General features: G+C 45.5%; 3 annotated features.

Annotated features, from left to right (window-relative positions):
• Window positions 360–977: an enhancer, noted in NCBI's record as "OCT4-NANOG-H3K27ac hESC enhancer chr2:207676891-207677508 (GRCh37/hg19 assembly coordinates)". NCBI's record gives its function as "activates a minimal SCP1, AML or CMV promoter by ChIP-STARR-seq in naive and primed H9 embryonic stem cells {active_cell/tissue: H9 hESC(naive and primed)}" and the evidence as "EXISTENCE:reporter gene assay evidence [ECO:0000049][PMID:30033119]".
• Window positions 978–1,593: an enhancer, noted in NCBI's record as "NANOG-H3K27ac hESC enhancer chr2:207676275-207676890 (GRCh37/hg19 assembly coordinates)". NCBI's record gives its function as "activates a minimal SCP1, AML or CMV promoter by ChIP-STARR-seq in naive H9 embryonic stem cells {active_cell/tissue: H9 hESC(naive)}" and the evidence as "EXISTENCE:reporter gene assay evidence [ECO:0000049][PMID:30033119]".
• Window positions 5,584–6,411: an enhancer, noted in NCBI's record as "OCT4-NANOG-H3K27ac hESC enhancer chr2:207671457-207672284 (GRCh37/hg19 assembly coordinates)". NCBI's record gives its function as "activates a minimal SCP1, AML or CMV promoter by ChIP-STARR-seq in naive H9 embryonic stem cells {active_cell/tissue: H9 hESC(naive)}" and the evidence as "EXISTENCE:reporter gene assay evidence [ECO:0000049][PMID:30033119]".

Genomic DNA, 12,063 nt, shown 5'->3' with positions numbered 1-12,063 from the left:
TACTGACAGCCAAATATATGCTGCTTCAGTAAAGAAAGGGAAGAATCAGACACATATTTACTCCTGAAGAGTTCCCCAGTTTACTGGGGGAAGATACAGCCCTTTCTCTCTATCCCTCACTGCATCTAAGGGTCATGGGAACACAGAAATGGCAAAGACTAACCACAAATGGGGCAGGAACACGTGAGGAGAGAGAACTCAGGAAAGTGTTGTTCAATCTACACTCATATAGGAGAATCTTTCCAGGTGAAGAGGTGGCAGGGATTCCTCAGAGTACAAAGCATGTGAAAAGGCTCCGAAAGATGAAATCTGAATGCTGGGGAAGACCTCTGAGTAGCTGGAGCACAGAATGCCAAAGACGGAAAATAATGACCAAGGAGTCTAAAAAGTGGGTCAGGCCCAACTGGACAGTATGTGCATAAAAAATGAGGAGTCTCATGCCTGTAATCCCAGCACTTTGGGAGGCTGAGGTGGGTGGATCACCTGAGGTCAGGAGTTCGAGACCAGCCTGACCAATGTCAGGCCTCTGAGCCCAAGCCAAGCCATCGCATCCCCTGTGACTTGCATGTATATGCCCAGATGGCCTGAAGTAACTGAAGAATCACAAAAGAAGTGAATATGCCCTGGCCCGCCTTAACTGATGACATTCCACCACAAAAGAAGTGTAAATGGCCGGTCATTGCCTTAACTGATGACATTACCTTGTGAAAGTCCTTTTCCTGGCTCATCCTGACTCAAAAATCACCCCCACTGAGCACCTTGCGACCCCCACTCCTGCCCGCCAGAGAACAAACCCCCTTTGACTGTAATTTTCCTTTACCTACCCAAATCCTATAAAACGGCCCCACCCTTATCTCCCTTCTCTGACTCTCTTTTCGGACTCAGCCCGCCTGCACCCAGGTGAAATAAACAGCCATGTTGCTCACACAAAGCCTGTTTGGTGGTCTCTTCACACGGACGCGCATGAAATTTGGTGCCGTGACTCAGATCGGGGTACCTCCCTTGGGAGATCAATCCCCTGTCCTCCTGTTCTTTGCTCCATGAGAAAGATCCACCTACGATCTCAGGTCCTCAGACCGACCAGCCCAGGGAACATCTCACCAATTTTAAATCAGGTAAACGGCGTCTTACTCTCTTCTCCAACCTCTCTCACTGTCCCTCAACCACTTTCTCCTTTCCACTCTTCAATCTCTCCCTTTTCTTAATTTCAATTCCTTTCATTTTCTGGGAGAGACAAAGGAGACACGTTTTATCCGTGGGCCCAAAACTCCGGCGCCGGTCACGGACTGGGAAGGCAGCCCTCCATTGGTGTTTAATCATTGCAGGGACGCCTGATTATACACCCACGTTTCAAGGGTGTCAGACCACGTAGGGATGCCTGCCTTGGTCCTTTACCCTTAGCGGCAAGTCCCGCTTTTCTGGGGAAGGGGCAAGTACCTCAACCCCTTCTCTCCTTGTCTCTACCCCTTCTCTGCTTTTCTGGGAGAGGGGCAAGTACCCCTCAACCCCTTCTCCTTCACCCTTAGCGGCAAGTCCCGCTTTTCTACAGGGCAAGAACCCCCAATCCCTTATTTCCACACCCCAACCTCTTACCTCTGTGCCCCAATCCCTTATTTCCATACCCCAACCTCTTATCTCTGCACCCCAATCCCTTATTTCCACACCCCAACCTCTTATCTCTGTGCCCCAATCCCTTATTTCTGTGCCCCAACCTCTTATCTCTGCACCCCAACCCCTTTTCCCACTTTTCTGGAAGGTAAGAACTCCTGAACCCCTTCCCTCCGTTTCTCTACTCTCTCTTTTCTCTAGGCTTGCTTCCTTCACTATGGGCAACCTTCCACCCTCCATTCCTCCTTCTACTCCCTTGGCCTGTGTTCTCAAAAACTTAAAACCTCTTCAACTCACACCTGACCTAAAACCTAAATGCCTTATTTTCTTCTGCAATGCCGCTTGACCCCAATACAAACTCAACAGTAGTTCCAAATAGCCAGAAAATGGCACTTTGAATTTTTCCATCCTGCACAATCTAAATAATTCTTGTCGTAAAATAGGCAAACGGTCTGAGGTGCCTGACGTCCAGGCATTCTTTTACACATCAGTCCCTTCCTAGTCTCTGTGCCCAGTGCAACTTGTCCCAAATCTTCCTTCTTTCCCTCCCGCCTGTCCCCTCAGTCCCAACCCCAAGCGTCGCTGAGTCTTTCTAATCTTCCTTTTCTACAGACCCATCTGACCTCTCCCCTCCTCGCTAGCCCAAGCTAGGTCCCCATTCTTCCTCAGCCTCCGCTCCTCCACCCTGTAATCTTTTTATCGCCTCCCCTCCTCACACCTGGTCCGGCTTACAGTTTCGTTCTGTGACTAGCCCTCCCCCACCTGCCCAGCAATTTACTCTTAAAAAGGTGGCTGGAGCTAAAGGCATAGTCAAGGTTAATGCTCCTTTTTCTTTATCCCAAATCAGAAGCGTTTAGGCCCTTTTTCATCAAATATAAAAACCCAGCCCAGTTCATGGCTCGTTTGGCAGCAACCCTGAGACACTTTACAGCCCTAGACCCTAAAAGGTCAAAAGGCCGTCTTATTCTCAATATACATTCTATTACCCAATCTGCTTCCAACATTAAATAAAACTCCAAAAATTGGAATCTGGCCCTCAAACCCCACAACAAGACTTAATTAACCTCACCTTCAAGGTGTACAATAACAGAAAAAAGTTGCAATTCCTTGCCTCCACTGTGAGACAAACCCCAGACACATCTCCAGCACACAAGACTTCCAAACGCCTGAACCGCAGCAGCCAGGCGTTCCTCCAGAACCTCCTCCCCCAGGAGCTTGCTAAATGTGCTGGAAATCTGGCCACTGGGCCAAGGAATGCCCGCAGCCCGGGATTCCTCCTAAGCCGCGTCCCAACTGTGTGGGACCCCACTGAAAATCGGACTGTTCAACTCACCTGGCAGCCACTCCCAGAGTCCCTGGAACTCTGGCCCAAGGCTCTCTGACTGACTCCTTCCCAGAACTTCTCGGCTTAGCGGCTGAAGACTGACACTGCCCGATCGCCTTGGAAGCCCCCTAGACCATCACGGATGCTGAGCTTCCGGTAACTCTCACAGTGGAAGGTAAGCCAGTCCCCTTCTTAATCAATACGGAGGCTACCCACTCCACATTACCTTCTTTTCAAGGGCCTGTTTCCCTTGCCTCCATAACTGTTGTGGGTATTGATGGCCAGGCTTCTAAACCTCTTAAAACTCCCCAACTCTGGTGCCAACTTAGACAATACTCTTTTAAGCGCTCCTTTTTAGTTATCCCCACCTGCCCAGTTCCCTTATTAGGCTGAGACACTTTAACTAAATTATCTGCTTCCCTGACTATTCCTGGACTACAGCTAAATCTCATTGCCACCCTTCTTCCCAGTCCAAAGCCTCCTTTGCGTCCTCCTCTTGTATCCCCCCACCTTAACCCACAAGTATAAGATACCTCTACTCCCTCCTTGGTGACCGATCATGCACCCCTTACCATCTCATTAAAACCTAATCACCCTTACCCCACTCAATGACAATATCCCATCCCGCAGCATGCTTTAAAAAGATTAAAGCCTGTTATCACTCGCCTGCTACAGCATGGCCTTTTAAAGCCTATAAACTCTCCTTACAATTCCCCCATTTTACCTGTCCTAAAACCAGACAAGCCTTACAAGTTAGTTCAGGATCTGCGCCTTAGCAACCAAATTGTTTTGCCTATCCACCCCGTGGTGCCAAACCCATATACTCTCCTATCCTCAATACCTCCCTCTACAACCCATTATTCTGTTCTGGATCTCAAACATGCTTTCTTTACTATTCCTTTGCATCCCAGCCTCTCTTCGCTTTCACTTGGACTGACCCTGACACCCATCAAGCTCAGCAAATTACCTAGGCTGTACTGCCGCAAAGCTCACAGACAGCCCCATTACTTCAATCAAGCCCAAATTTCTTCCTCATCTGTTACCTATCTCGGCATAATTCTCATAAAAACACACGTGCTCTCCCTGCCAATCGTGTCCGACTAATCTCTCAAACCCCAGCACCTTCTACAAAACAACAACTCCTTTCCTTCCTAGGCATGGTTAGCGCGGTCAGAATTCTTACACAAGAGCCAGGACCACACCCTGTAGCCTTTCTGTCCAAACAACTTGACCTTACTGTTTTAGCCTAGCCCTCATGTCTGCAAGCAGCGGCTGCCACTGCTTTAATACTTTTAGAGGCCCTTAAAATCACAAACTATGCTCAACTCACTCTCTACAGTTCTCATAACTTCCAAAATCTATTTTCTTCCTCATACCTGACGCATATACTTTCTGCTTCCCGGCTCCTTCAGCTATACTCACTCTTCGTTGAGTCTCCCACAATTACCGTTGTTCCTGCCCCAGACTTCAATCCGGCCTCCCACATTATTCCTGATACCACACCTGACCCCATGACTGTATCTCTCTGATCCACCTGACATTCACCCCATTTCCCCAGATTTTCTTCTTTCCTGTTCCTCACCCTAATCATGCTTGATTTATTGATGGCGGTTCCACCAGACCTAATCGCCACACACCAGCAAAGGCAGGTTATACTATAGTACAAGCCACTAGCCCGCCTCTTAGAACCTCTCATTTCCTTTCCATCGTGGAAATCTATCCTCAAGGAAATAACTTCTCAGTGTTCCATCTGCTATTCTACTACTCCTCAGGGATTATTCTGGCCCCCTCCCTTCCCTACACATCAAGCTCGAGGATTTGCCCCACCCAGGACTGGCAAATTAGCTTTACTCAACATGCCCTGAGTCAGGAAACTAAAATACCTCTTAGTCTAAATAGACACTTTCACTGAATAAGTAAAGGCCTTTCCTACAGGGTCTGAGAAGGCCACTGCAGTCATTTCTTCCCTTCTGTCAGACATAATTCCTCAGTTTAGCCTTCCCACCTCAATACAGTCTGATAACAGATGAGCCTTTATTAGTCAAATCAGCCAAGCAGTTTTTCAGGCTCTTAGTATTCAGTGAAACCTTTATATCCCTTACGGTCCTCCGTCTTCAAGAAAAGTAGAATGGACTGAAGGTCTTTTAAAAACACACCTCACCAAGCTCAGCCACCAAAAAGGACTGGACAATACTTTTACCACTTTCCCTTCTCAGAATTCAGGCCTGTCCTCGGAATGCTACAGGGTACAGCCCATTTAAGCTCCTGTATAGACGCTCCTTTTTATTAGGCCCCAGTCTCATTCCAGACACCAGACCAACTTAGACTGTGCCTACCTCCCCAAAAAAAAACTTGTCATACTCCTATTTTCTGTCTAGTCATACTCCTATTCACCGTTCTCAACTACTCATACATGACCTGCTCTTGTTTACACTGCCAGTTTACACTGTTTCTCCAAGCCATCACAGCTGATATCTCCTGGTGCTGTCCCCAAACTGCCACTCTTAACTCTTGAAGTAAATAAATAATCTTTGCTGGCAGGACTATGCTGAATCTCCTTAAGCACTCTCCAATCAGATATCCTGAGTCGTCCCAATTCTTAGACCTTTTATACCTGTTTTTCTCCTTCTGTTATTCCATTTAGTTTTTCAATTCATACAAAACCGTATCCAGGCCATCACCAATCATTCTATACGACAAATGTTTCTTCTAACAACCCCACAATATCACCCCTTACCACAAGACCTCCCTTCAGCTTAATCTCTCCCACTCTAGGTTCCCACGCCGCCCCTAATCCCGCTTGAAGCAGCCCTGAGAAACATCGCCCATTCTCTCTCCATACCACCCCCCCAAAATTTTCACCGCCCCAAAACTTCAACACTATTTTGTTTTATTTTTTTTATTAATATAAGAAGGCAGGAATGTCAGGCCTCTGAGCCCAAGCCAAGCCATCGCATCCCCTGTGACTTGCAGGTATACGCCCAGATGGCCTGAAGTAACTGAAGAATCACAAAAGAAGTGAATATGCCCTGCCCCGCCTTAACTGATGACATTCCACCACAAAAGAAGTGTAAATGGCCGGTCCTTGCCTTAACTGATGACATTACCTTGTGAAAGTCCTTTTCCTGGCTCATCCTGACTCAAAAATCACCCCCACTGAGCACCTTGCGACCCCCCACTCCTGCCTGTCAGAGAACAAACCCCCTTTGACTGTAATTTTCCTTTACCTACCCAAATCCTATAAAACGGCCCCACCCTTATCTCCCTTCTCTGACTCTTTTCTGACTCAGCCCGCCTGCACCCAGGTGAAATAAACAGCCATGTTGCTCACACAAAGCCTGTTTGGTGGTCTCTTCACACGGACGCGTGTGAAAACCAACATGGAGAAACCCCGTCTCTACTAAAAATACAAAATTAGTCGGGCATGGTGGTGCACGCCTGTAATCCCAGCTACTCAGGAGGCTGAGGCAGGAGAATCTCTTGAATCCGGGAGGCGGAGGTTGCGGTGAGCTGAGATCACACCATTGCACTCCAGCCTGGGCAACAAGAGCAAAAGAAACTCTGTCTAAAAACAAACAAAAAAGAGGAGTCCTGAATTGTTTAAATAAGGGAGAAGAATAACATTGATAACATTGTCAGATCTGGGTTTTAGGCAGAACCTTTTTATGGGTAGCAGAGACGACCAAAACAAGTACAAGTAGTCAATCAAAAGTCACCGATATGTCCAACAAGAGAGCCTGCTCTCCCCAGGACAGAGTGAAAGCCCAGTGGCCTCACAGGCACGAGTGTCTGGGAGCACTGCAGGAAGGAAGTCAGAATCCACTGGACTCCACAACTTCCTGATGAGTGAGAAAAATTCTGGAAAACTGTCAGCATTCTCTCAGAAGGTGAGCATACCGATTGCAGAGTATTTCTACCTTTCCAAGCTTGGCAATAGTACAAAAATGAGGTCGATTCTCTTCACTCTGTGTAACTCACACCACCAGATGCTGATGCCCTTAGACTCTTTCACAGCTACAGTTCCCCAAATCATTTATATCCAGAGGTCAGGCATATGGAGCTCATTAAATTCCATACAGCAACATTGTAACCATGTGAAACTTTTTGTTTGCAGTGCAATTTAATGTTGAATTTGATTTATGAGGCACTGCACATTCTTAGTCCTAGGATGACAGCATACACTTCTACAAGCTTAAGTCATGGTTTGGGGCAAGGGGGAAGGCCTTTGACCAGATGTTGGAATTGGAAATCTGGGCTTATGCTAAGCATTTGCGAAGAAGGGAGAGCACCACATCTTAGAGAAGGTCTATCCCAACTTGACTGTTATATCACTGAGGAAACCAAGACCTAGAGAATTTCTTTTCCTTTTTCTTTTCTTTTCTCTCTTTTTTTTTTTTTTGAGACAGGGTCTCCCTCTCTTGCCCAGGCTGGAGTGCAGTGGTGCGATCATGGCTCGCTACAGCTTCAACCTCCCAGCCTCGAGCAATCCTCCCACCTCAGCCACCTGAGTAGCTGGGATTACAGATGTATGCCACCAAGTCCAGCTAATTTTTGTATTTTTTTTGTAGAGACAGGGTTTCACGATGTTGTCCAGGCTGGTCTCGAACCCTTGGGCTCAAGCAATCTGCCCACCTCTCAAAGTGCTGGAATAACAGGCATCCTAGAGAATTTAAATGACAGAGGCAGTGGCTGGAACCCAGGTCTCCTGATTCTCAGCCCAGTGGCCCTCCTTCTCTCTCCCTTGCCTCTCTACTATTCAAAATACAAAAATGAAGAGAAAATGGGCCTTTCTTATTCATGCGGAAATTCATTCCAACTTGACAGAAAGGTACCCATGTAAAATGTATTGTTAACTTCATATCCTAGTATATAAATAAGAGAAAATCAATAAAGCATTTGTTTGAAAATGACTTGCTTTCTGTTTGGTTGGTACAAAGTTATATCATATATGATATATGGCTCTGGAATCAAATCTAAAAATTTAAATTACTTGCTCAAAGCCACATGGCTGATAAGTCTAAGTCTGAATTTTTTCATCTATAAAGTGGGCATTAATAATACTTACCCCAAAGTTGAAGTGTTTCATTTAATCAACCTTTGAGGAAAATGCTTAAAAGATAGTGGCTATTGTTGTATTTTATGTGGTATCTGTTGGTTTGGGCTTCAAATACTCTTCCCGGGAGACATGCCGTACACTTATTCCCATGATGCTGTCATTGTTCAAAATATTTGGATGCACTTTTCTTCTGGAACTGCCTTCTGAGTTAGTTCTTATCTGAAGAGAAAAATTAACTCTTCATGCCTATATTTAATCAAAAGGAATGTAACTTAGTTTTATCAACTTCATTCACCAAAGCTAGCTGGGAGGTACTTTTAACCATTTGTTTAAACCAAAGCCAGATACAAAAGATGAAGATTTGCCATGATTGAGAATTTGCCCACAAAATTTTGCTTCCTTAAGTGAAGGGGATACATATTTTACTTGCTGGACCGAGCTCAGAAACCTTGGGAAAGTCATAAGCCACGGAACCAAACCCTGTTCCAGAGCTGAGAAGGTGGAAAACGGGTGTGTGGATGACTCAAGGTCAGCCCTTGGGAAGCTGGAATTCTCTGGAACTTCTGAGAAAGAAAGACAGCCTCTCAGAAACAATTACATGGGAATTTTCACAAGCTGGGAAGATCCCTGTAGCTCTAACCAGGATTTGTTCTCATTCTGTGGGAGGAATGGAAGGAAAAAGAAGTCTTTGAGAGCCCTAAGCTCCTGAACTTGAATGCAAAGCAGGCTTTGGAAGTCAGAAGAGCACTGGGCCACTCCTATCTCGTCCTTGTTCAGGATAAATGTACCCCCTATACCATGCGTTTCCCCCAACACACACCACACACACACACACACACACACACACACACACACACACACACACACACACACCACTAAAGAATAGACTTCCTGCCTCTGTGCTCTACCAGAAACTTTCAGCATCTAGGGTTAGCATCTTGCCTTCCATTTGCACCTCAAACATTTCATTCTTCACGTTGTTATCATTATCACCCTATCATTACACTGCTGGTTAATCATGATTAAAACAATAAACAAATAATTTTTCCCTGGTGAGCATAAATAATTGCAGATGAATACATATTGTTCGGGCCCATGTAACATTATATGCTATTACAGACAGTATGAGAGGATGTTTTATTGTAAGAGATAATTTTTCCTAATTGTAATGTTTACTCCCTTCAGATTCTAACCTTCTGAAGGCCCAACAAAGTCACCTAGAGGGAGTTTGCAGCTCTTGCCTGCAGTTTAGGGAAAAGTGGCTTTTCTACTTGGTGATAACTCTAAAGTGAAAATGTGAAACCAAGTGGAAGAGGCCAGGGGGTGCTTTTTCTACCAGATGTTAAAAGAAAAAGAACACGCAGGATCTAAACTCTAGAGTGAGCCTCACTGCTGGGGGTGACAGAGCAAGAAGAAATCCAGGGGTTCATTCGATTAACTTGGAAGGCTCTTACTAGGGGACACTAGTTTATTGAACAGGCTGGGTCAGTAGCTCCAGCAGGCTGGAAACAGCTCCATCTTCTTCCCTCCCTTGCCCATCACACTGGCTCTGCCAGCTCTCCCTTCCCACCTCAGAGAGGCCATCTCCGGCATATGCCAGAGTATTTTTGGTTGCACATGGCTATTAGCAGAGCCTCATTTTAAGGTATTAAAAAGCTCATCACCTGATCTATTCTCAAAATATGCAGCTCTCACCCAATCTAAGATTCCTTCCTTTCTTCCAGCTCAGTAATGAGCAGCAGGGGGAGGAGGCTGTGGAATCTTCTTTTGCTGTTTGCCCCCCTTGCTCTGTTTTCTGCTCCTCCTGCCCCGCTCACTGTGCTGCCTCTGGCATCTCCAGGGCCAGGTGGGGAGGAGGGACTAGAGGTAAATGGGTCTATTCACTGGTGACCTTGCAGTCTGCGAGGATGCCCTTTGTGTGCTAGATGCTCAAGTGCTGGCTCCTCCTCACATGAGTGACTTTTGTGGGTTCTTAAGAGACACCCCTACTCCCACCTCTCTTTCCATGGCGTGTCTTTCTTACACCACAGCATTCCCTGACCTGACCCCCACAAGGCACTCTCAGGCTGACTGTGAAGACCCCATACAGCCTCTTTTTGCTGAGATTTCTGAGCTTTGGCAGGACGTCCTCTAGGACAGGTGCCTTTCAGGATGACTCAAGCCTGCTAGTTTCTTCAGCATTCGTTTAATCCACAGGAAATATTATGCATCCATGCCATCCCTTCTCCCCTGCAAAACTTGGAAGCCAAAAGCCTTCTTACAGCCACCTGTTTTTGCTCTGCCATCAGCAGCAGCTCCAGGCAGCCTTCTGCCTTTGGGCTTTTCCAGGCAAGAGTCAGGCTTCTATCTCCAGTCACCTTCCCACACCTCCTACTCTCACCTCGCACTCCCACCCCCGACCAATGTTTGAAGGGTCTACATCAAGCTCTCAAAGGAACTTGGAGTCCAGGCTTCTGGGTGTCACTTCATGAGTTGTGCCTCTACCCCACTGAGTGAACAAATCTAAGCCACCGAACATACCCTGTGGGATTGGGGTTATGCCCCCACCCTTCCTCTCCATACACTGGGCCCCATGCATGGCAGGTGGCTCTGTTAAAGATTACTGACCATTTTTCTCTTGAGACTATTGTAGCTTTTACAGCGCTAAAAATTTTAAGCATAACACCCTTCTCTACCATCATCTTAGGCAATTTACAGAGATAAATTTATGATTTTGCATCTATAGCACATGAAGTATGGATTTTTAAAGATTCATTAGAATATATAATTCTCACATAAAAACATTTATACTCATAAACAGTATTTCCATAAAGATGATCTCATTAGATATAAAGTTTATCTCTGGTGAATTAAAGTTAATCCTGAAAATCTTGTCAACCACACATAATATATGGTACCTAATGTATCTGATACATTCTGAAACAGATAAGTGGATGAAATATTTTTAAAGCACCACATCTAGTAAGGCAGCAGAGAATTAGAAACGGATTTTATTTCTTGTTCTTCAATATAGTAATTGGTGACCTTGAGAAATGCCATTTAACCTTTTCATGTCTCAATTTTCTCATCTATAAATAGATATAATCATCACAAAGACCCGCTGTGAGCAATAGATGAGATAATCTTGAGAGCTCTAAAGCTCTACATATAACAGAAAGGCATTATTGGGATTAGGGCAGAGGATCTGCAGCTCTGCTGTTGCCTTGAACAATTTCCATGATTCTGTGACTCACTTTTACTACCTGCAAAATAGACACCGGAAGGCGTCTCTCCAGTTTTCCTTAGAAGGCAGAGTCTGTATAAGAGAAAAAAGCTGATTTCAGGGTCCAGCAGATTTAATTAGCTGCACAACCATGGGCCAACTCTCGAGTGTTAGAGAGGATAATGATGACTACCTCACAGGGTTGTGAGAATCAAATGTCTTAAAGGAGAACAGTGCTTAGTAAATAGCTAACAGTGCTCAGCCTGTACAATTGTTAGAATCAATATTGGGTTTCCACTGAAAATTACCATGGGGTTACCTTGCCGTTTACTGCCTAGGTCCAGTCATTTCTGAATAAGATTAGTTGCTATGGTTACCTTCCCAAAACACCACAGTTGAAAACGTGTTGGAGATGGGAATCGATGGTAGGAGGCTTTAGCGGAGGACACAAAGCAACTTCAGCCACTGAGACATTTTAATACATGTAAACTCCTTCCCTTGGAAACCTAAGTCACATTTTGCCAAAATGGAAATGAACTCAGGAAGTGGACTTTCAGAAGTTCTGCATTTGGCCAGCCTCCTTCCCCCATCACCAGGCCCTCAAGGACAGGTGCGTTCTGGCCCTGAACCAGCTCCAGAGCATCTCAGTTTCTTACCCCAGGATCTGGCAGTTGGAAAGATGTTGGTTGCCAGGCAGAATTCATCAGATTCACTTCCCAGATGCTATCGCTTCTGATGCCGAAAGAAAAATAGGTTGCCCAGCAATTGAGGTTGGAAAGGACAGGTGTAGCTGAGAAATGCACAGTGTTGCACAGAAAACAATAATGGGTTATTTTTGTTAAAATTCATTAGCATGCATATTTGTATATTCCA

The sequence above is a fragment of the Homo sapiens genome, chromosome 2 (assembly GCF_000001405.40).
Source record: "Homo sapiens chromosome 2, GRCh38.p14 Primary Assembly".
Lineage (NCBI taxonomy): Eukaryota > Metazoa > Chordata > Mammalia > Primates > Hominidae > Homo > Homo sapiens.
This window is presented reverse-complemented; position numbering and strand designations above follow the sequence as displayed.